Source organism: Homo sapiens, chromosome 11, assembly GCF_000001405.40.
Source record: "Homo sapiens chromosome 11, GRCh38.p14 Primary Assembly".
NCBI classification, from domain to species: Eukaryota; Metazoa; Chordata; class Mammalia; order Primates; family Hominidae; genus Homo; species Homo sapiens.
In genome coordinates this window covers 67,340,511-67,363,807 of record NC_000011.10, presented here as the reverse complement: position 1 = coordinate 67,363,807, position 23,297 = coordinate 67,340,511, and the positions used below count along the sequence as shown (strand labels likewise).

Genomic DNA, 23,297 nt, shown 5'->3' with positions numbered 1-23,297 from the left:
CAAGCCCCGCCTCCAGGGTTCACGCCATTCTCCTGCCTCAGCCTCCTGAGTAGCTGGGACTACAGGCGTCTGCCACCACGCCCAGCTAATTTTTTGTATTTTTAGTAGAGACAGGGTTTCACCGTGTTAGCCAGGATGGTCTCGATCTCCTGACCTCATGGTCCGCCCGCCTCGGCCTCCCAAAGTGCTGGGATTATAGGTGTGAGCCACTGTGCCCGGCCTTGGTTTTTCTTTGAGAGAGTCTTACTCTGTTATCCAGGCTGGAGTGCAGTGGCGTGATCTTGGCTCACTGCAATCTCTGCTTCCTGGGTTCAAATGATTCTCATGCTTCAGCCTCTCGAGTAGCTGGGATTACAGGGGTGCACCACCATGCCTGGCTTTTTTTGTATTTTTAGTAGAGACGGGGTTTCACCATGTTGGCCAGGCTGGTCTCAAACCCCTGACCTCAGGTGATCCACCTACCTCAGCCTCCCAAAGTGCTGGGATTACAGGCGTGAGCCACCTCGCCTGGCCAGCCTCACCTTCCTGGATTGCATTAATGGTCTCACAGGTCTGTCTTCCCACCTTGAATTTCTATTTCTGCCCTCTGGCCCAGCCTCCTTATGATGAGCAAAGCTATTCATCTGTGCTTCTGGTGCTCTACCCTGAGCAGTCAGCCCCTGGGCTTCACTCCCCAGCTTCCCCAGGACTCCTGCCTGTCTCTGTCCACTGGGGCTTCAGGAGCAGTGACCCTCACTTCAACACCCTTCCTCTCTTCAGGAGGGAAACAGACTGTGAACAAGTCACAATCCTCAGCTGTAAATGCTACTCCTCTCTCTCCAATGTAAGATAGCATATTCAGGAAAAGAGAAAAATTCAAATTGTGAGAGAATGGGATAGATGCTATTCAAGGGATGCCCTAAGCTCAAATCTCAGACTCACAAATTTTGAGTGACCAGTTTCCCCATCAGTAAAGTGGGGATAATTAAATACCCATCTAAGACTGCTGGAAAGGATAACAGGAACAACAAAGGGCAGATGCTTGGCTGTAGCAGCAGCAGCTGTAGTCATTACAGATTACTTAGGCTCTAGCAGCATGTCATGACACTTTAGTTAGGAACCACTGGGTAAGTCAATGAATGAATAGCTCCCAGGTAATACATGGATATTTTATGGATCTTGAGAGCTTGTTTGGAAGTTCTAGCATGGGAGCGAGGCTACTCATATACCCTTGACGGAAGACTGATCCTCCTCTATCAGGGATGGTCGTCCTCAACAGAGCACACAGCTTCGGGAGGGATGCACGAGGAGCTGTGAGGGAGGACAGGGACACCCGCCTAGACAGCCAGATCAGCCGAATCAACCCTGGTGATCAATGGGGTGACAGATGTCACAGCCAGATCATCCTCACATCCTACATGGATATTTTATAAGGGCCTCCTGGAGATAATGCCTTAAGTGAAGAAAGTAAGAAATGATGGCAATGTCAATCAGTTGACAAATATTTTCAAGATCTAATTACCTGCCTGTGGTGTAGAAAAGCCAAAAGAAGCCTAAAACCTAATTTGGCTCCTGCCCTTATGGAGCTTCTAATCTACTTGGGAAGAAAAGATCAATGTACCTGAAATAATAAGGGCCACAGGCATATCTGTGCGATGCAGACACAGAACTGCCAGCAAGTGCAAGAATCACTAGAAAAGGGAGAGGTCAGAGTGTAGGTGCAGGAGCTACTAACTTGCTTGTGGGTGAGGCAAGCCAGCTCTGCTGAATGGCCCTGAGTCATCTGGCCCAAGTTAGAGGGCACATGCCCCACCCTGAGGGGTCCGGGCTCCTCATCTGCCTAGGCATGGCCTAGGCATGGCCAAGGGCACCTGCAGACCCTGCCCCCTGCATAACAAGATAGAAAGGAGAGGGTATCAGGGCTGTCTCCACACATAGTCAAAATAAGCTGTGGCCTGTGATATGCAAAGCATTAAGTAGGGGCTATAAGGAATACAGAGGTAAAGGAGGAGGTCTTATCATCAGAGAGCTTACACAGTACTATCCTGTTGAGTTTCTTGGGGACAGCTTTTGAGTCTTCTTCTACTCACTATACCAGCACCCAGCTTAGACTCCATCCAAAAGAAGGTGCTCAATGAGTGTGTTGGACAAAACAATCTAGAAAAGGGAATAGAAACCCTTCCCTGAATGGTAGAATACAAGGCAGAACTCGATTAAATGCAGAAAGATCCAGGCAAAATACTACAGAAGACTAGGAAAGAGAGACTGCATCTAGTTAGGTGAAGGCCCTCTAGGCTGTGAGCCCTATTAGGGGAGAAAACAGCATCTGAAGTTATTGCTGACTTCCATAGCTGTATTTCCAGTGCAGAGCACACAGCAAGTGCTCAATAGTTACCTTTTCCATAAATGCATGCGGTGGGATTTGACACCATTCTTGGAGGATGGGCAGAATTCAGACAGATGGAGATGGGGCAGAATAAGAGTTAGTTAAGTGTGGCCGGGCGCGGTGGCTCACGCCTGTAATCCCAGCACTTTGGGAGGCTGAGGTGGGCAGATCACCTGAGGTCGGGAGTTCGAGACCAGCCTGATCAACATGGAGAAACTCGTCTCTACTAAAAATACAAAATTAGCCGGGCGTGGTGGCACATGCTTATAATCCCAGCTACTAGGGAGGCTGAGACAGGAGAATCGCTTGAACCTGGGAGGCGGAGGTTGCGGTGAGCCGAGATCATGCCATTGCACTCCAGCCTGGGCGACAGAGTGAAACTCCAACTCAAAAAAAAGGAGTTAAGTGTATTTGTCTTTCTCTTTTTCTTTTTATTTATTTATTTTTTTTTTTGAGATGGAGTCTTGCTCTGTCACCCAGGCTGGAGTGCAGTGGCGTGATCTCGGCTCACTGCAAGCTCCGCCTCCCGGGTTCACGCCATTCTCCTGCCTCAGCCTCCCGAGTAGCCAGGACTACAGGTGCCCACCACTGCACCCAGCTAATTTTTTATATTTTTAGAAGAGACGGGGTTTCATCGTGTTAGCCAGGATGGTCTCGATCTCCTGACCTCTTGATCCACCCGCCTCGGCCTCCCAAAGTGCTGGGATTACAGGCGTGAGCCACCGCACCCGGCGTATTTGTCTTTTTCAAGCAAATAACATCTTGAGGGCAAGGCCCACGATTTATTCATCTTTGCATCCCTACAGCATTTTAGTGTTTTGTTGTTTTTTTCTTTTGAGATGGAGTCTCGTTCTGTCACCCAGGCTGGAGTGCAGTGGCACAATCTCAGCTTACTGCAACCTCCGCCTCCCAAGTTCAAGAAACTCTTCTAGCTCAGCCAACCAAGTAGCTGGGATTACAGGCGTCCACCACCATGCCTGGCTAATTTTTGTATTTTTAGTAGAGACAGGGTTTCACCACATTGGCCATGCTGGTCTTAAACTCCTGACCTCAAGTGATCTGCCCACCGTGGGCTCCCAAAGTGCTTGGATTACAGGCATGAACCACTGTGCCCAGCCCTACAGCATTTTAGTGTAATGCCTGGCACAGTAAAACTTTGATAATTTTTTTTTCTTTTTTTTGAGCCAGAGTCCTGGTCTGTCCCCAGGCTGGAGTGCAATGGCACGATCTTGGCTCACTACAACCTCCACCTCCCAGTTCCAGCAATTCTCCCACCTCAGCCTCCGGTGTAGCTGGAATTACAGGCGTACGCCACCACATCGACTATTTTTTTTTTTTTTGTATTTTTTTAGTAGAGATGGGGTTTCACCATGTTGTCCAGGCTGGTCTTGAACTCCTGATCTCAAGTGATCCCCCTGCCTCGGCCTCCCAAAGTGCTGGGATTATAGGCGTGAGACACTGTACCCAGCCAAACCTTGACAATTTGACTTAAACTGATTTAAAGAGTGTCAAGACATCAGTTAATAGGGTTGCTATATTAGAGAAAAATTTAAAAAGTGTGTGTCAAGACGATAGTGTTTTGGAAATTGACAGAAAAGGCCAGGTACAGTGGCGCACACCTATAATCCCAGCACTTTGGGAAGCTGAGGCAGGAGGCTCACTTGAGCCCAGGAGTTCAAGACCAGCCTGGTCAAAATGGCAAAACCCTGTATCTACAAAAAACACAAAAATTGGCCAGGCGCGGTGGCTCACGCCTGTAATCCCAGCACTTTGGGAGGCTGAGGCGGGCGGATCATGAGGTCAGGAGATAGAGACCATCCTGACCAACATGGTGAAACCCTGTCTCTACTAAAACTACAAAAATCAGTTGTATGTGGTGGCGCACGCCTGTAGTCCCAGCTACTCTGGAGGTGAGGCAAGAGAATCGCTTGAACCCAGGAGGCGGAGATTGCAGTGAGCCGAGATGGCACCACTGCACTCCAGCCTGGTGACAGAGCGAGACTCCATCTCAAAAAAACCCAAACAAACAAAAAACAAAACAAAACAAAATTAGCCAGGTGTGGTGGCGCACCTGTGGTCCCAGCTACAAGGAAGGCTGAGGCAGGAGGATCGCTTGAGCCTGGGAGGTCGAGGCTGCAGTAAACTGTGATCACACCACTGCACTCCAGCCTAGGTGAAGGAAGGAGCTGATCAACAGTCTCAGATGCCCCAGAGGAGCTCAAGAAGAATGCTGAGCAAAATCCAGTGGCTTTGGCAATCAGGAAGTCTCAGGCAACCTTTGTGAAACAGCAGGTGAGAGGCAGCCACCGAGTTGTGAGATTAATGAAGGCCATGGTGGGCAGAAGTAGAAGGGGTAAATCAAGTCCCTCAGAGTTTGCTGGTTAAGAGACCAGGCGCAGCAGCTTGCACCTGTAATCCCAGCACTTTGGGAGGCCAAGGAGGGCGGATCACTTAAGGTCAGGAGTTTGAGACCAGCCTGGCCAACATGGCCATCTCTACTAAAACTATAAAAATTAGCCAGGCCTGGTGGTGCATGCCTATAATCCCAGCTACTCAGGAGGCTAAGGCAGGAGAATCGCTTGAACCTGGGAGGTGGAGGCTGCAGTGAGCCAAGATCCCACCACTGCACTCCAGCCTGGGCGACAAGAGCGAGACTGTCTCAAAAAACACACAAACAAAAAAACACCATCTAGAAAGGTTAGCAAGATCACAGAAGGCTTTTGTTTGTTTTGTTGTTGTTGTTGTTAAATAGAAGTGATCTAAACATGTTATTGCTGAGTGAGTAGGGGGCGGGTGGAGAAAAATGGGGAGGTTTAGAGAATGGAATAAGGAGACAACCACAGGAGAGCCAAAGGGTGTCTGGGCAGCCAAATAGAACCCGGTGATATCAGCAGGCACCTTTGCCGTGGACCTGTCACCATGGGCAGTGACATTCCTTAGCATTTCAGAGGGAGGGACAGACTGGAGAAGAGGGCATTTTCCAAGGCTGAGGATTGGCAAGGCAAGAATGGCAGAGAATCAAGGGGGATTCTAGGCTGCTGGAAACTACTGGAAATTGGCTGGGAGCCAGAGCCAGGCAGTAAGGGAAGAGTGGTCAGTGGAGGGAAACAGAGGAGGGGAATAGGCTGGGAGAAGAATCCTGAATGGGGAGCGCTGGGGTTCCTGCATGCTGAGGACGCAGAACGCTCCCACAGTGGCGGTGGCGTGGTGGAGGGAGAGGGGGATGAGAGCACCATCAGAGAGGGCACTTCAGAGTGTGAGTTCTTGAACTCTCTCAAATAGCCCCTAATGATGGTGACAGGGGATGTGAGCTGCTCGTTTGTGTTTTGGCACTGTGTCCCACAGGCATCTTGTGAAAATGCCAGCACCACAGCACAGGGAGCACCTGGTAGATCACAGGGCACTGGCGTTTTCTGTGAGTGAGTCATTGGTTTTCCATCCAGAGCTGCTTCAGGAGATCCAATGAGTTTTGTTGGTTATCGAGGTTCTACCTCCTAAGAATGGCTTCAGAGTCAGAGGCCCAGAGGCTAACATGAGACTCTAAGGCATTGCAATGTCAAAGGGTGGAGGGTGTGTTATCTCTAGTATTCCTCATGTCCCCACAAGGATCGGGAGAGTGGGCAAGAGAAGACCCTCCTCTCCATCATCTCCAGATAGAATGTAAGGATTAGAAATCTTGTCATCATCTTGAGTGCTTAGAAACACACCTATGTTTGAAAGAATGAGCATAAAATGGAGAACTATCACTTGAGGCAGGGGCAACCTCTGGGGGAAGTGGGGCTAGAGGAGGCTCTGATGGGAGATGGCACAATACTCAGATCTTGCCAGTTTTCCACTTTTGCAAAGACTGACCTACCGTCCAAGACTTACAGGCCGCCTCATGATATGAGAGGCTCATTCAAGCACTGAGTTTACACACACATGCACACACACACTCTCACTTGCCACAGCCACCCTAAATGGGGAAGGGCAAAGGGAGGCCCTCTGTTCCCCTTAACCTAGAGGGCAAGGGCTAGTGACTCAGTCCTGGCTGGGCACTCCGATGGGCAGCTCCCTCTCAGCTTCCCCTTCTGCTGTGGAGCTACAACTGTCCCTGCCTTTGTTCCTTCAATTCTCAAGCTCCCTGACTCAGCCTCGTTCCTGAACTTCCCAGCAGGGGACAAAGCCCTTGTCAGTGGGGTGGTGTGGGGGCAGTGGCAGTGAGGGGGATCTGGGGGAAAGCTGTAGAGTCAGAGTTCCAGTCCTTTTCCCAGTCTCAACCTTCAGGGTCCCTCAGCCTTGCCAGTTCAGTGGTCACCTCTAGGCTCCTCCCCAACTTGCCCAGATCTCTCTCTGAGGCCAGACTGATGGGGTGGAAATGGTTAACTAGAACCTTCCTCCCACCCAGCTGGGCAAAGTCTGACACCTGGTGGCCAAGGTGAGTAATGGCCAGAAGGCCCCTTTTCAAGTCTTCCCGGAACTGCTCCAGAGCCTGGATGGCCAAGGTGAAAGAGGAGGTGACTAGAGAAGAAGGTGTGGAGGGTGGTAGGAGCAGGACAGAAGATGCAGTGGTAGAAAAACCCAGAGACCCCATCCTTTCCACTCAAGCTGCTGCGATGGAAGCACATTAGGCCAGAGAACCTGGACCAGGGGAAGAGGGAGTGTCTGGGAAGGCAGTGAGGGACTAGGAAGGACTGCCTGAAAGAATTCTGGCCCACAGGGTGAGGAATGGGGCCCACGGTGTGTGAGTATGTTGGGGGCCGGGGCCAGGGGTATTCTGGCTGCCCAGAATCTCCTGAGTGGGACTGACTTTCAGCTCAGGGTGGGTGGCAGGGCCCAAGGGCCTGAGGAAGGGGGGTACTGGCGAGAGGGAAGAAGAGCTGGATCCACCCCACAGCCCACTGGGTCCCAGGCAGCTGCTCCCCTCTCTCCACCTGCCTCCAGCTTCCCAGCTCTACCTGGCTCTCCCCACAAACCTCATGGTGAGGTGGGGGAAGGGAATGCAGGTGCAGTGCTGAGGCCCCCATTCTACCACATTGTCTGAGCTAAGCCAGACCTAATCCTTCCCTTGAGTGCAGTCAGCGGTGGGCCTCAGCCCCTGGGAAGGTGCCGGGTTCCTGTTTCAGTTCTTTTCTCTCCTGGACCCCCAGGACTCTGGGCTTGGCCCTGAAGCAAGGGTCTTGGGTATTGTTACCAGGCTGAGGTGCAAAGGTCACTCCTACTAGTCTCATCACCAGCCTCTGGGTGTCGGGGCTGACACAAGGGTCTCAGGACATTCCCCCAGGGAGAGAGAACTCAGCACCCAACCCAGAACTCTGGCCTGGCCATCCAGTCTGAAGCCTGAACAGGCTCCAAGACAGCAGTTTAGGGAATGAGGCCAGGATGCTGCCTGAGTAGGTGAAGGGGTTCTAGGCAAGAAGGTACAGAAGGTGGATGGGGTTGGACAGCAAAGAAGGAAAAGACCTGAGGACAGGAAGGTCAAGGTCCAGCCTAGTCCTCAGCGCACCTTAGGGATTCAGGTGCTGAGTCAGGGCATGCCAGTTGGACAGGGATGGTTCCAAAATCCCTGGGTGCCAACTCTTTCCTAGGGGCTCCACCCTACTGCCATCTAAGAGAGAGCAGCAATGCTGCCTGCAGAGAGTTCCCTCAACTCCAAGGCAGAAAGCCAGGCCTAGGGTGCCTGCACTTGAGCTGACCACTCTGAATCTTTTTCTTGGGTGTGGGGGTAGCTGAAGCCTGAGGGAGACATCTTCCAGCCTGGGTTGGGGCCTGTGCCAGGCAAAGCTGGGGAAGCTGGCAGGGACAGCCCAGCCAACATCTACAGAGCAGCTCAGGATGCCAGAGGCTGCCCAAGGAGAAAAGGCAATAGGCCCAGGCGGTGGTAGGAGCTACTGTGGCTGCCCAGCGGCACACCCCATTTCACGCTCCCTGGGCGGTGGCAGGGCCCCACGGCTATCAGCTTTCAGGGGTGGGAGGGACTGGGAATGAGGAGGGGTCTGCCCCACCCATGGCTCCCTACTCCCTCAGGGCTTGGTGGACTCAGGAGGTGGGTGCCACACACCTCTGGAAACAGCCCAGGAACCCTTGCCAAGACCCTCTGGGGAGGGGTAGTCAATCCCCCAGAGCCTAGACGCCATCCCTACCTAGCATGCTCAGCACCTGACTGGACTCAGCACCTAGGCCCTTCCCAGCCCTGGTAGACAGGGCCTCCCTGCTTCCATCACTAACTCCGCAGGGACACTGTCTCCCTGAATGTGGGCCCCACTTAGTCCGCAAGGCAGATGGGGGGATTAGACTAGGCCCAGCCCAAACAATACAGCAGAAAGGGCCCTCCAGCTCCATGCAGTGCCCCCACAAGCTCCCTCCTCTAGGACGCCGATGGGGAGAGCCAGGCAGGACGTGGACCCTGAAGACATGGCCTGCTCCTCTGCCTCCCCTCTGGTGGTCTCCTTTCCAGAGCAGCTTCCTCCCTTGTGCCCACGTGTACCAGTGGCTTAGCCCTCTTCCAGTGCAGAACACCCAGACCCCAGAGCAGGGAAAGGAGGAGGCAGAGGCCTCTGAGCAGGCAGCAGCCCAGGAGTCTGTGCCCCACCCTCCCAGTATCCCTGGAAGGAAGAACCGGATGGGATCTCTGGAGGGTGATTAGAGCTGGGCTGGTCCCTGTGCTGGTTCCCAGACTCCCACTGGCCAGTACTTTTGCCTCCTGCCAGGAAGTTGGTGAGGGGGAGGCAGCAGTATGGGTGAGTCAGTGATGACAGGAGCCCAAGGGACAAAGGTCATGGGTGGAGAATTGAGAGACATTGTTTACAGCAGTCCACCTCCTCCAGGAGGCCTTCCAATGCTAATCATCCCTGTGGTCCTAACCAATCTCTGACCCACCCTTTCCCTCTTCTGGTAGGAATTATAGCCTCTCACTGACAACTGTGCATCTGTCTGCCTTGTGACAGTGAGCTCCTGGGGTGCAAGAGAGACTGTGGTTTGATTGGGGCCCTACAATGCCTGTGACTATCAGCAGTGATAATCATTTAGCTATACTTCCTACTTTCAAAAACTTTTTGACATCTATTTTAATTAACATGTGGGAAAGTGCTTAGAACAGTACTTGGCACATGGTACGTGCAATGAGTGTTAGGTTTATTATTAATATTTTCTGCTCAGACTCACATTATTGTGAGAGACAGGGCAGATTTTGCCAGTGAAGAACTAGGGATCCAAACACATTGTGGTGGGGGGACCAGACCCTTGCTCTGCCTTCCTACTCAGTATGGAATCTTCCTGACTGGTGGGGCGGGCCGGACACGACTTGGGACCCCAGGAGAGTCAAAACGGCAAACACTTACTCGGACTAAGAGTGGGCAGCATCTTTGGGCACAGACTGTGAGAAAGGAGGTTTCAGAACCCATGGGCTTCTCCAGCCAGGTCTCCTGGGGCCAGTGGGGGTTGGGTGGGAGCCGGGAAGGGGCCTGGATTAGCCCAAACTCTCTTCAGACCTCCAGACCTGCCCCCACAAGGCGGGGCGGGCCAAAGGACCGAGTGAAGGCTCCAGCTGGACTCTAGGGAGTTACAAACTGGCCACGGGGATTAGCGAAGCTGAAAAGAACATTTGCCTAGGAAGGGAAAACGGGAAGTGAGAGGCTGAAGATAACTCTCCTGAAGTCTCTCGGGACCCACAGCAGACCAATGGGGGCCGGGGAAGGTGGTGAAGTCGGGGCATCCCGACAGGTCCCCCGCCCCAGCCTGCCCCTCCTCCCGCGGCCCACAGCTGAGGCACCGCCCCGCCCCTCACCCTACACTGCCTACCATTGGCTAGCGCCAGGGCCCCGCCCCGCATAGGCGGCCTGCCATTGGCTGAAGTCTTTCCTGTTTGCGTGCTTTTGGGGGTGGGGGAGGCGTCCCTCCCTGGACCCCGGCGACTTCCTCTCTCGGTTTGTCTGGGTCATCTTGTCTGCCCGCCGCTGGCCTGGCCCCGTCTGTCTCTCTCAGCAGCTGTCTTTCTCGCGCCCACTGGCCGGTCTCTCCTCTTCCCCGCAGTTGCCTCCTTCTCTGCCTGCCTGGGTGGCCGCCATGGGCCGGAAGCGGCTCATCACTGATTCCTACCCGGTTGTGAAGAGGAGGGAGGGGCCCGCTGGGCACAGCAAGGGGGAGCTGGCACCCGAGCTAGGTCTCTGAGGTGTGAGGGAGGCAGGAGGAGTGGACACGGAGGGGCCTAGAGGAGGCCCCTAGAGGGGCGGAGGGGCCGATGGAAAGGGAAAGGTGGCCTGTCCTCCCCTCCCGACACCAGGTCTAGCTGCGGGGTGGCAGAGGCAAAGCGGTGGTGAGGAAGGCTGGGAGGTGAGGGGCAGGAGACTGAAGCCAACCTCGTACTGAAGAGCAGCTGTCATTGCAGGGGAGGAGCCCCAGCCCCGCGACGAGGAGGAAGCGGAGCTGGAGCTGCTGAGGCAGTTTGACCTGGCCTGGCAGTACGGGCCCTGCACCGGTGAGAACCCACCCAGCCCCACGGAGGCGCCTCTCCCAGCCAGTCACCCACACGTCTCTGAAGTCACCCAAGCGCTTGCGTGACTCTGACCCTCAGGAACTGTCTCCCCCCAACACACACATTCTCCAGCTCAGACTCTACCCCACCCCCCACAAGTCTCCAGAGTCTTCTTCCCACCCTGGCAGGGATCACACGGCTGCAGCGCTGGTGTCGGGCCAAGCAGATGGGCTTGGAGCCTCCCCCAGAGGTGTGGCAGGTGCTGAAGACCCACCCCGGAGACCCCCGCTTCCAGTGCAGGTCAGAGACAGGCCGGGAGGGCTTTCAGGGGAGCCAGGGCCTTCTCCAGGCACTGTCACCCTGCTGTCCTGACCTGAGGGAGAAATGGATGGAGGGTTGGAAGGCCTTGCTGAACAGGCAAGAAGATTCTATGAGGTGCCTGGCTCAGGAGGACACGCCACTATAATAATTCTTTTTTTTTGAGACAGAGTCTTGCTCTGTTGCCCAGGCTGGAGTGCAGTGGCGCGATCTCGGCTCACTGCAAACTCCGCCTCTCGGGTTCACGCCATTCTCCTGTCTCAGCCTCCCAAGTAGCTGGGACTACAGGCGCCCGCCAACACGCCCGGCTAATTTTTTCTATTTTTAGTAGAGACAGGGTTTCACCGTGTTAGCCAGGATGGTCTTGATCTCCTGACCTCGTGATCCCACCCACCTCAGCCTCCCAAAGTGCTGGGATTACAGGCGTGAGCCACCACACCCGGCCAATAATTCTTACCTCTACAAGCTAGTGGGGGGCAAAGGTACACCCAGGACCCAAGGAACTATCTATTTAGAACTGAGGGGTTTCCCAAGGACTATGGGCATGGCCAAGAATAAGCTGGTGAAATCAGATCCAGGGACTCAACAACTGATTCTCTGTTTCTCTCTCTCTCTCTCTGGGGTATCCCTCCCTCCCACCCCATCTTCCACAGTCTCTGGCATCTCTATCCCCTATGAGGCACCACGTAAGACCTCCTGCCCTTAGCTCTCTTGCTCACCACCCAAGAACCTCAGGACAGAAGCGAGAGCCCATTGCTCCTGCTCAGCTCAGCCCGGCTGCGGAGGAACCCTTGGCAGGCAGAACCTGGAGGTGTCAGAGGCTCAACTCCTCCATCTAACCAGCAGGCTCCCAGAGTCCCCGGAAGAGCCTGCGCAGCTGAAGCAGAGTGCTTCTAGATGGAGAGTGGTCACTGGGGAAAAGGACCTGGCCATCACCTTCCAATACCTGCTGCCTGTCTCCCTGACCCATGATCTGGCAAGTTAGGCACAGTCAGACATGGACAGTTGATCCATGAGGAAAAGATGCTCTCCCACCTAAGGCCAGGAATCTGAGAGCAGGACTGGCTGAGCTCCCAGGGCAAGGGGTTCACTAATGCTTATCAATAAAGAATATTGAGCCTGGAATCCTGACCTTCAGTCCTTTACTGTGGCCCTGCTTTGACTGGCAGTCCCTAGCAAGTTAGGAGATGAGAGAGGCACCACTACAGCTCTTTTCCTTCAAGAAAGTCCTAGGCCGAAGAGGGAGGAGACAGTCATCTTGAGACGGATCAAGTCCTCGGAAGAGCTGAGCGACCTCTGGTGCCCCCTGGTGGCCCACAGGGAAACTACTCATGACTCACCTTCTGGAGCAGCCAGGGAAAACCTACCTGACTAGCCAGCCACCTGCCTTGCTAAGCGGTGCCCACCTCACAAACATGGGTGCTTTGCCAGAGAAGGACCCCTGGGGTCCATAGCTCATGAAGTCCAAACATATCTATACATTCCCAGCAAGCACCTCTGGCTTCCCACATCGGGGGCCACCTTGATCCAAAGCAGGGCTGGCGAGGGTCTCAACTTGCAGGACCTGCTCAGACATGACCATCATCTGAGGGGCTTTGGTAAGAAACTGATGGCTGGGCGCGGTGGCTCACACCTGTAATCCCAGCACTTTGGGAGGCCAAGGAGGGCGGATCACGAGGTCAAGAGATCGAGACCATCCTGGCTAACATGGTGAAACCCCATCTCTACTAAAAATACAAAAAATTAGCCAGGTGTAGTCCCAGCTACTCAGGAGGCTGAGGCAGGAGAATGGCGTGAACCCGGGAGGCAGAGCTGGCAGTGAGCTGAGACCGCATCACTGCACTCCAGCCTGGGTGACAGAGAGAGACCCCGTCTCAAAAAATAAAAAAATACAAAATAAAGGCTGGGCGCAGTGGCTCACGCCCGTAATCCCAGCACTTTGGGAGGCCGAGGGAGGTGGATCAGGAGGTCAGGAGATCGAGACCATCCTGGCTAACATAGTGAAACCCCGTCTCTACTAAAAATACAAAAAAACTTAGCCAGGCCTGGTGGCGGGCACCTGTAGTCCCAGCTACTTGGGAGGCTGAGGCAGGAGAATGGCGTGAACCCGGGAGGCGGAGCTTGCAGTGAGCCGAGATCGCGCCACTGCACTCCAGCCTGGGCGACTGAGCAAGACTCCATCTCAAAAAAAAAAAAAAAAAAAAGAAAGAAAAAAGAAACTGATGGTGCTGGGGGATGGAGGAGAACTGGCTGGAGCCAGAAACAATGCCCAGGGGACCCAGGGTCAGGGTATGACATGGAGAATAGAGTCAGTAACCGCTTCTATAGTGTTACCTTCATCTACTGTGGCAGCCCTCTATCCTGGGGGTAGATGGAGGCAGCACTAGTAAGTTCTTGGAAACAGGCCTAGAGGGCAGCTAAGTGGCCTGTGTAGCCCCCGTCTGAGCACTGATCATGTCTCAGGTACTTTAAATGTATTACCTCGAATCCTCCTAAAAAACCTTCCAGGTAGGTTTTACTGAGGGGGAACTGAAACTAAGAAAGGTTAAGTAAAGTTGCCCAAAAGCACACAGCAGGCAAGAGGCAGTGCAGTGACCAGGGGCCACTTGCATTAACCTCTTCCAGACTATGCCATACCTCCTGCCCAGCTGCTAAGCACTCACTATGTGCCAGGCACCAAAGGTCCCCTTGGGGTATTACTAATGGTCAGGAGATGGGCAAAAACAAACACGTAAGTTAATTATGACAGGTAGCAGTCAGTAGTAAGCAAAATCAGAGTTGGGATCAGAAAGGGTCCAAGGATGCCAGGGGCGCTATGTTAGAGAGACTGGTCAGGGAAGGCCCTCTGCTAAGGTGGCATTTGAGCAGAGACTTGAAGGAAGGAAGGGAGCAAGGTCTGCATCTGAGGGTTCCAGGCAGAAGGAGCAACAAGGAGAAGCTTCCTGAGGAAGGAGTGTTTCCAGCCTGCTCCAGGAAAGGCACTGAGGAGGCCAGTGAGGCTGGGGGCCAGGGAGTGAGGAAGGGTAGTGGGAATTGAGGGCAGACAGGCAGCGGGCTGGTCCCTAGGGCCATGATAAGAAACTGGATTTGATTCTGAGTGAGAGGGGAGGATACTGGAGGGCTTGAAGCCAATAAATGACAGAGTCAAGCTTATGTTTCGAAAACATTACTCTGTTGGTGGAAAACAAGATTGTGGAGCTGGGGAAAACAGAGGTAGCAAAACCACTCAGGAGGCTACTGAAGTTGGCCTCATGAGAGCTGAGGGTGATCTGGACCAGCGTGGGGAGGTGGACTGCTCAGAAGTGGCCAGGTACGCTCTGTATTTTTAAGGAAGAGCTGACTGGCAGGACTTGCCTATTGGTCGACTGTGGGATTTAAGAGGGAGGAGCCAAGGATAACTCCAAAGGTTTTGGTTTGGGCGACTGGAAGGACAGAGTTCTCATTACTAAGATGGGAAGACTTGTGGGAAGGGTGGGGCAGGAATCTGGAGCTCCATCTTAGACATGCTGAAGTATCTGTGCCACTTCCAAAGGGACATGGGGTATAGGCAGTGGATATGTAAGTCTCGGATTCTGAGGCATTCTAGGTTTAAAATATAAACTTGGGAATCTTTTAGATGGCCTTGAAAGCTCCAACAGTGGATGAGATCCCCAGAGTGAGTGTAGAGAGAGAAGTGATCTGAGAGATCCAGTAGCGAGGGAACCTGAGGTTACCGGAGATGAGGAGGCAGTTGTGTGAGTGAGATCTTTGTGAGGGTGAGGAGGGCCAGGAACCAGGATACAGGAAGAGGGTGGCCTTCAGTAGACACATGCACTGTGACAGGAAGGGAGGCAGAGAATATGAGAGGAGCCTCAGGTAGGGGGATATATTTGGGGATGGGAATATTCAAGAATCAGATATTTACTAAGAGCCTGACACTGCTGGGAGGGCTCTGATGTTTACTAAGTGCCTATCCATGCCATCTGCTATGTGAAATGCTGCACACATGTTATCTAGTTGAATCCTGAGAACAATCTCATTAGGGAAGTACTATCCATGTTTTACAGATAAGGAAACCAAGGCTGAGAGGAAAAGTGCCTTGCTCAATCAGTAAACACCAGGGCCTGAATTCACCCCGCACCTGCACTCCAGATGTTGGAGGATAAGAATGTTGTCGAGGAGATAAGGACTACATATGTGGCAAGTTAGAAAACCATGTAATATGAGTGCTTTCCCGAGGCAACCTAGGAGTGGCACAGACACTGAATTGTCTGAGTTCTCAGAAAGGAAAGAGCACCATGGGTGACAGGGACCCGCTGCAGGGGCCTCGAGCACAGGGACTGCAACCTTCCTCCCGCTGCATTGTATTCCCCCTGCTGCACCTCATCTGCACCTAGCCCCTTCTAATCAGGGGTCCCTGTTTCTCACCTTCCCACCTTCCACCGCAGGGCGAATGCAGACTCCCCACTGTAGGGGACAGCACCATGCGGAATGTTCTTAGTCATTTCCTTCATCAATTTTGCATTCTACTCCATATGTCTGGAGTAGTTGTACTTCTTTTTTGACACAGAGTCTCACTCTGTCACTCAGGCTGAAATGCAGTGGGATGATCTTGGCTCACTGCAACCTCTGCCTCCAGGGTTCAAGCAATTCTCGTGCCTCAGTCTCCCAAGTAGCTGGGATTAGAGGTACCCACCACCATTCCCGGCTAATTTTTGTATTTTTGGTAGAGACGGGGTTTTACCATGTTGGCCAGGCTGCTCTTGAACTCCTGACCTTAAGTGATTCACTCGCCTCAGACTCCCAAAATGCTGGGATTACAGGCATGAGACACTGTGCCCGGCCTGGAGTAGCTGTATTAACATAAAAGTAGGTGAAATTATTTATAATTAAATAAAATGAAGTCTCCAGGAAGATGTGCCACATGTGGCTTATGGCTGCTTTCAGGTACCCCTGATACATCTACTATACCACCTCACTCAGTTTGAACAGCACTTCAGAAATACTAAAAAGCATATATATATATATATATATATATATATATATATATATATATATATTTTTTTTTTTTTTTTTTTTTTTTTTTTGAGAAAGGGTCTTGCTCTGTTGCCCAAGCTGGAGCACAGTGGTGCAATCATGGCTCACTGCAGCCTCAAACTCCCAGGTTCAAGCCATCTTCCTGCCTTGGTCTCCCAAGTAACTGGGACTATAGGCACGTGTCATACACAGCTAATTAAAAAAAAATTTTTTTTTTTTTTTAGAGAGATAGTCCTGCTATGTTGCCCAGGCTGGTCTCAAACACCTGAGGCCAAATAATCCTCCTGCCTTGGCCTCCTAAAGTATTGGGATTACAGGAGTGAACTGCCACACCCAGCCAGAGAATAGTGTTCTAGACTAAGGGAATGAGCTGAACAAAGGCAAGCAGGAGGGAATTATGTGTGTGCCACAGGCTAGGTGCACAGAGCTGTGAAGTATATACCACAGAGGTTTCCACATAAAATCATAAAAAACTAGCATTTGGCTGGGAGCGGTGGCTCATGCCTGTAATCCCAGCACTTTGGGAGGCCGAGGCGGGTGGATCACCTGAGGTTGGGAGTTCGAGACCAGCCTGACAAACGTGGAGAAACCCTGTCTCTACTAAAAATACAAAATTAGCTGGGCGTGGTGGTGCATGCCTGTAATTCCAGCTACTCAGGAGGCTGAGGCAGGAGAATCACTTGAACCGGGGAGGCGGAGGTTGCAGTGATGCAGTAACCAAGATCGCGCCACTGCACTCCAGCCTGGGTAACAAGAGCGAAGCTCCATCTCAAAAAAAATAAAAATAAATAAAATAAAGGGACAAAGAACTATAAGAGATGTTGCAAAAGAAGTTGGCAAAACTTGCATTTGGTAAGGGAAGAATGGGGAGGAGGTGTCAAATATGACTCAGGTTTTGAGCTTGGGTGGGTGAGAGAATGCTGATGCCATGGGAAGAAAAATGGAAACTGGGAGGGGGAAGACAGGCTCAATTTTATACATGCTTGGTTTGAGATGACGACAGGACACCAAATGGAAACATCTGGTAGGAAATGGAAACAGAGCTCAAGTCCAGCAGAGAGGTCAGGGGAGGGGCAGTATCCAGGGGACAAGGAAATCACCTGCATAGAACTGACCTATGCGCACAGATGAAAGATTCAAGAGAGACAGTCAAAGAGAAGACCAAGCATGGCACCTGGGAAAATTCTCTCTAGAAAATGGTGGAAGAAGATCCAGCAAACCAGAGGGGAAGAGTGCTCAGAGTGGCAGGAGAACCAAGGCAGAGCAGTGTCCCAGAGGTCACCGGTGTGATGCTGCAGAGACATCAAGGAAGACACTGTCAGGAAGCATGGAGGGGACTTGCCCTCAATTCCATTCCTCCATTTCCCACTTCCCGCTATCCTCGTTTTGTAGTTCTCTCGAGTGTCTTTGGCTGTCATGGTAACTACCAGTACCACACCCCTCTATGAAGGCCACACTGATTCATTCTTTATTGACTCAGGTGTGGCAACATTTATCCACCCTCAGACAAACTCACTAGTAGCTTGAAGGTTTAAGGAGCTAATTTACCAAGAAACTAAAGTCAACACAGGAAAGAAGCAAGTTTCTGAACTGGTCTAGAAACAGAAGAAAACTACAACAGTGCCAGCTTGAGGCCAATTTGGGTTACTGCCACCTCTGGGACTCAAGAGATTCTCAAAATGATTCCTGGTTTTCCACGCAGTTTATCCACCTGAGTCTATCCACCTGAGTCCTAAGCTAGAAAACCATAACTTTGTGCTAGTCATGGCAGATGCAAATGATTAGAACCCCAGGCCCTAAGCCCCAAGAGCTCACTGTAGTAGGGAGACAGAAAACAGACGCGCAAGTATACTTCAAACAATGCTGCAAGACAGGCATGGGCCTGGCCTATGACAACCTTCAGCTGAGTATGTAAGGACGAGTAGGGGTGCCCTCCAGGTGAACAAGTGATGGTAGACCATGTGTTGGCATCTGAGATCTGAGTCCTTCTTAAGCCCAACTTTGGTCCTTTGTCTCTTGAAGGAAAAGGCATCTCCTAGGAGCTCCCTCTGGGATGTGAGCCTCCATCCTGACCTCGTGGATGCCCCTTCACCTCACCTAGAGGCGCCAATGGTTCCTATGCCTGCAGGCCCTGCCCTTGACTGCAGGATGTTTTTCACTCTGTGCAGCCTTCCCTGAAGAGAGTTAAGGATTTCCCCTCTGCTTCCCACGGTAACCTGTTTCTGTTTTATTACAGCATGTCACATTGCCACAACAATACGCTTCATTGTTTTCAGTGCTAGAGAATATTTTATCTCTGCTGGTGTATACCTAACACAAGGTTGGCTACATAGTAAGCGCTCAAAGCTGGCTGAGGTTGGTCATAGTGGCTTACCCCTGTAATCCTAGCACTTTGGGAGGCTGAGGAAAGAGGATCACTTGAGCCCAGGAGTTTGAGACCAGCCTGGGCAACAAAGGGGTATCCTGTCTCTACAAAAAACAAAAAAAAACTAAAAATTAGCTCGGTGTGGCACACGCCTGTGGCCCCAGATAGTGGGGCTGAGGCAGGAGGATCACTTGAGCCCATGAAGTTGAAATGCAGTGAGCCATATTCCCACTACAGCACTCCAGCCTGAGCAACACAGCAAGACCCTGTGTAAAAAAAAAAAAAAAAAAAAAAAAAAAGCTGACCAAATCGTCCCACTTCACTCACATCTACTTTTTTTTTTGAAACAAACTCTTGCTCTATCCCCCAGGCTGGAGTGCAGTGGCATAATCTTGGCTCACAGCAACCTCTGCCTCCCAGGTTCAAGGGATTCTCTTGCCTCAGCCTCCCGAGTAGCTGGGATTACAGGCAGGCACCACCATGCCCAGCTAATTTTATATTTTTAGTAGAGACGGGGTATCACCATGTTGACCAGACTGGGCTCGAACTCCTGACCTCAGGTGATCTGCCCACGTCGGCCTCCCAAAGTGCTGGGATTACAGGTGTGAGCCACTGTGCCCAGCCTACTCACACGTACTTTTTGATCCTGTCTAGCCCGTGAGAATCATTTGTGTGAGAGTTGTAAATGCAACTCTTTGGGCTCTAAGTCACTTCTCCATAGGAGTTGTGTGGCCTTGATGGCAGGAGCCATCTTCTCCTAAGGCCTTCTCAGTGAGGAAGGCATCAAAGCTGTCAACTGCAGAAGCAGGCCCTTTTCGTTTCCTGTTTTGAAGCCTGTGCCTCCAGTGGGCTGGCCATGGAGTGCTTAGCTGAGGTCCTCTGAGGTGCAGAGTAGAGACAGTCATCATTGCAGTGAGCCATCCAGCCCACCTCTCCACATGCTCTCGGGAGAATGGCTGGCCAGGATCTGACTATTCTAGTTCTGCAATGCTGGAGTATACACTTGTACAACTCCAAGGACACTAATTTGGCATTATATATCAAAATTATAAATGCACCTATCCTTTTCAGTCTATATCTAGAAATTTATCCTACAGATACGTTGGTATATGTAAAATAACATATGTAAGGTTATTTATTATAAAACTCTTTGTAATAGCAAAGAACATAAATAGCCTAAAAGTCTGTCATCCATAAGAGACTGGGCCAGGTGCGGTGGTTCACACCTGTAATCCCAAATATTTGGGGGGCCAAGGTGGGAGGTTGCTTGAGGCCAAGGGTTCAAGTCCAGCCCAGGTAACATAGCAAAATCTTGTCTCTACAAAAACTGTTAAAAATTAGCCCACTGTGGCGGCTTGCACCTGTGGTTCCAGCTACTCGGGAGGCTGACGTTGGGGAGGACCCCTTGAGCCTGGTAGGTTGAGGCTGTAATGAGGTGTGACTGTACCACTGTACTCCAGCCTAGGTGACAGAGCAAGACTCTGTCTCCAAAAAAAAATAAGGGCCAAGTGCAGTGGCTCATGCCTATAATCCCAGCATGTTGGGAGGCCAAGGCAGGAGGATTGCTTAAGCTCAAGAGAATTTGAGACCAGTCTGGGGCAACAGAGTGAAACACCATCTCTATGTGGAAAAAAAAAAAATTAATTAATTCTCGTTATGTTGCCCAGGATGGTCTTGAACTCCTGGACTCAAGCAATCTTCCTGCCTCAGCCTCCCAAAGTGCTGGGATTACTGGCATGAGCCACCATGCCTGGCCAAGTTCATTCACTTTTGTTGCTGAATAATATTCCATTGTGTATTGGCCGGGCACAGTGGCTCACACCTGTAATCCCAGCACTTTGGGAAGCCAAGGCGGGCAGATCATGAGGTCAGGAGTTCAAGACCAGCCTGACCACCATGGGGAAACCCCGTCTCTACTAAAAATACAAAAAAAATTAACCAGGTGTGGTGACGCGCGCTTGTAATTCCAGCTACTCAGGAGGCTGAGGCAGGAAAATTGCTTGAACCTTTGAGGCAGAGGTTGCAGTGAGCCGAGATCGTGCCACCACACTCTAGCCTGGATGACAGAGCAAGACTCCGTCTCAAAAAAAAAAAAAAAAAAAAAAATCCATTGTGTGAATATACTAAAATGTATTTATCCCATTTATCAGCTGATGAACATTTGGGTTGTTTCCAGTTTTAGACTCTGATGGATGGAGCTGTTATAAACATTCATGTACAAGTCTTTGTGTGGGCAGGTTTTCATTTTTTCTTGGCTATATGCCAAAGAATCATATTGCTACATTATATATCATATATATATATTTGACTTTAGAGTAAACTGCCAGTCTGTTTTCCGAAGTGGTTCTACCATTTTATTTTTTTGAGATGGAGTATTGCTCTGTCACCCAGGCTGGAGTGCAATGGCACAATCAAAGTTTACTGCAGCCTCAAACTTTTGGGCTTAAGCAATCCTCCCACCTCAGCCTCCAGAGTAGCTGGTACTGGAGGTGTGAGCTGCTGTGTCTGGCCATGCTCTATTGTTTTCTTTGCTGTGCAGAAGCTTTTTGTTTGATGTAATCCCATTGGTCTACTTTTGCTTTGGTTGCCTGTGCTTTTGAGGTCCTATCTCAAAAATCCTTGCCTAGGTCAATGTCAGGAAGCATTTCTCCTGTGTTTTCTTCTAGTAGTTTTATAGTTTGAGGTCTTATATTTAAGTCTTTAATCCATTTTGAGTTAATTTTTGTCATTCTTCTGAATGTGGATATCCAGTTTTCCCAGCACCACTTATTGAAGAGACCATCTTTTCCCCAATGTATATTCTTGGCACCTTTACTGAAAATCAGTTGTGTGAATTTATTTCTGGGTTATCTATACTGTTCCACTGGTCTATGTGTATGTTTTTATGACTGTACCATGCTGTTTTGGTTACTATAGCTTTGTAGTATATTTTGAACTCAGGTAGTATGATGCCTCCAGCTTTGTTATTTTTGCTTAGGATTGCTTTGGCTATTTGGGGTCTTTAGTGGTTCCAGATAAAATTTTTGGAATTTTTTTTTTTTTTGAGACAGAGTCTCGCTTTGTCACCCTAGCTGGAGTGCAGTGGGGCGATCTTGGATCACTGCAACCTCTGCCTCCCAGGTTCAAGGGATTCTCCTGCCTCAGCCTCCCGAGTAGCTGGGATTTCAGGCGCGTGCCACCACACCTGGCTAATTTTTGTATTTTTAGTAGAGATGGGGTTTCACCACGTTGGCCAGGCTGGTCTCAAAATTCTTGACCTCAAGCAATCCACCTGCCTTCCTCGGCCTCCCAACGTGCTGGGATCATAGGCGTGAGCCACTGCACCCGGCCAGAATTTTTTTCATAATAGTATCTTTAGAAGAACGAAAGTTTTAAAATGTGTGTGTGTGTGCGTGTGTGTCTGTGTGTGTGATGGAGTTTTGCTCTTGTTGCCTAGGCTGGAGTGCAATGGCGTGATCTTGGCTCACCTGGAACCTCCGCCTCCTGGGTTTAGGCGATTCTCCTACCTCAGCCTCCCACGTAGCTGGGATTACAGGCATGTGCCACCATGCCCAGCTAATTTTTGTATTTTTAGTAGAGACAGGATTTCACCATGTTGGCCAGGCTGGTCTCAAACTCCTGACCTCGCATAATCCACCTGTGTCGGCCTCCCAAAGTGCTAGGATTACAGGCATCAGTCACCACACCCGGCCCAAAGTTTTAAATTTTGATGAAATCCAATTTATCATTTTTTTTGTTACTGCTTTTTATGTCCTAAGAAATGTTTACCTACCCCAAAGTAACAAATATTTTCTATTTTTTTCTAGATATTTCATTGTTTTAGCTTTTACATTTAGGTTTAGGATCTATTTTTAATTTCACTGTTTCATTCCTGATAATTGGGGATTTATATTTTCTCTATTTTCTTAGTCTTACTAGGGACTTAACAATTTCATTTTATTTTATTTTATTTTATTTTATTTTATTTTATTTTTGGAGACAGAGTCTTGCTCTGTTGCCCAGGCTGGAGTGCAGTAGCGCAATCGTGGCTCACTGCAACCTCTGCCTCCTGGGTTCAAGCAATTCTCTGCCTCATCCTTCTGAGTAGCCAGGATTACAGGTGCCCGCCACCATGCCCAGCTAATTTTTGTATTTTTAGTAGAGACAGGGTTTCACCATGTTGGCCAGGCTGGTCTTGAAATCCTGACCTTGTGATCCACCATCCTCGGCCTCCCAAAGTGCTGGGATTACAAGTGTGAGCCACTGCGCCCAGCCTCAATTTTATTAACTTATTTCAAGAAACTAACTTTTGGTGGATATACAGTTCCAGCCCCATTTGCTCAAAGACCTTTTACCCACTTAATTACGTTGGCACTGTCATCAAAAATAATTTGGCCATGGCCAGGTGCAGTGGCTCATGCCTGTAATCCCAGCACTTTGGGAGGCTGAGGAGGGTGGATCACGAGGTCAGGAGATTGAGACCATCCTGGCTAACACCGTGAAACCCTGTCTGTACTAAAAATACAAAAAAAATTAGCCGGACGTGGTGGCGGATGCCTGTAGTCCCAGCTGCTTGGGAGGCTGAGGCAGGAGAATGGCGTGAACCCAGGAGGCGGAGCTTGCAGTGAGCCGAGATTGTGCCACTGCACTCCAGCCTGGGCGACAGAGCAAGACTCCGTCTCAATAAAAAAAAAATAATGATAATAATTTGGCCATGTAAGTGTGGGACTACTGCTAAACTCTCTTTCGCATTGATGTGTTTATCTCAACATCACACTGTCTTGATTTGTGTAGCTTCACAA

At 50.7% G+C, this 23,297-nt stretch overlaps 1 protein-coding gene, 1 long non-coding RNA gene and 1 pseudogene across 6 annotated transcripts in view, besides 5 other annotated features; 1 reads left to right on the top strand and 2 right to left on the bottom strand.

The window, feature by feature from the left end:
- Positions 1 to 23,297, bottom strand: part of LOC100130987 (uncharacterized) — a 73,849-nt gene that overhangs the window by 27,880 nt on the left and 22,672 nt on the right. The gene's annotated exons all lie outside the window — the stretch shown is intronic.
- RN7SKP239 (RN7SK pseudogene 239) lies at positions 1,100 to 1,394 on the bottom strand (annotated as a pseudogene).
- Positions 9,945 to 10,194: a silencer, noted in NCBI's record as "silent region_3625". NCBI's record gives its function as "represses an Ori minimal core promoter by ATAC-STARR-seq in GM12878 lymphoblastoid cells {active_cell/tissue: GM12878}" and the evidence as "EXISTENCE:reporter gene assay evidence [ECO:0000049][PMID:35858748]".
- POLD4 (DNA polymerase delta 4, accessory subunit) lies at positions 10,212 to 13,043 on the top strand. Of its 5 annotated transcripts, none has more exons than NR_046413.1 (4): positions 10,212 to 10,269; positions 10,731 to 10,820; positions 11,006 to 11,117; positions 11,789 to 13,043. NR_046413.1 is itself a non-coding variant. In NM_021173.5 (4 exons), the coding sequence occupies exons 1-4, from the start codon at positions 10,409 to 10,411 to the stop codon at positions 11,811 to 11,813; spliced, it is 324 nt and encodes a 107-aa protein (NP_066996.3). In that variant the 5' UTR covers positions 10,262 to 10,408; the 3' UTR covers positions 11,814 to 13,036. The 5 variants fall into 5 exon arrangements, 2 of the variants coding, with proteins under 2 accessions (NP_066996.3, NP_001243799.1); NR_046412.2 differs by having other exon boundaries at positions 10,262 to 10,444; positions 11,789 to 13,036; NR_046411.2 differs by having other exon boundaries at positions 10,262 to 10,514; positions 11,789 to 13,036.
- Positions 10,375 to 10,424: an enhancer, noted in NCBI's record as "active region_5087". NCBI's record gives its function as "activates an Ori minimal core promoter by ATAC-STARR-seq in GM12878 lymphoblastoid cells {active_cell/tissue: GM12878}" and the evidence as "EXISTENCE:reporter gene assay evidence [ECO:0000049][PMID:35858748]".
- Positions 10,418 to 10,999: an enhancer, noted in NCBI's record as "H3K27ac-H3K4me1 hESC enhancer chr11:67120280-67120861 (GRCh37/hg19 assembly coordinates)". NCBI's record gives its function as "activates a minimal SCP1, AML or CMV promoter by ChIP-STARR-seq in naive H9 embryonic stem cells {active_cell/tissue: H9 hESC(naive)}" and the evidence as "EXISTENCE:reporter gene assay evidence [ECO:0000049][PMID:30033119]".
- Positions 11,000 to 11,582: an enhancer, noted in NCBI's record as "H3K27ac-H3K4me1 hESC enhancer chr11:67119697-67120279 (GRCh37/hg19 assembly coordinates)". NCBI's record gives its function as "activates a minimal SCP1, AML or CMV promoter by ChIP-STARR-seq in naive H9 embryonic stem cells {active_cell/tissue: H9 hESC(naive)}" and the evidence as "EXISTENCE:reporter gene assay evidence [ECO:0000049][PMID:30033119]".
- Positions 15,503 to 15,642: a silencer, noted in NCBI's record as "silent region_3624". NCBI's record gives its function as "represses an Ori minimal core promoter by ATAC-STARR-seq in GM12878 lymphoblastoid cells {active_cell/tissue: GM12878}" and the evidence as "EXISTENCE:reporter gene assay evidence [ECO:0000049][PMID:35858748]".

Bases quoted from the DNA above. Each gene is read 5' to 3' on its own strand.
- POLD4 (NM_021173.5), top strand. From the start codon at position 10,409: ATGGGCCGGAAGCGGCTCATCACTGATTCCTACCCGGTTGTGAAGAGG. The intron at 10,821-11,005 runs GTGAGAACCCAC...CCACCCTGGCAG, and splicing joins GCAGTACGGGCCCTGCACCG to GGATCACACGGCTGCAGCGC. The intron at 11,118-11,788 runs GTCAGAGACAGG...CATCTTCCACAG, and splicing joins GACCCCCGCTTCCAGTGCAG to TCTCTGGCATCTCTATCCCC.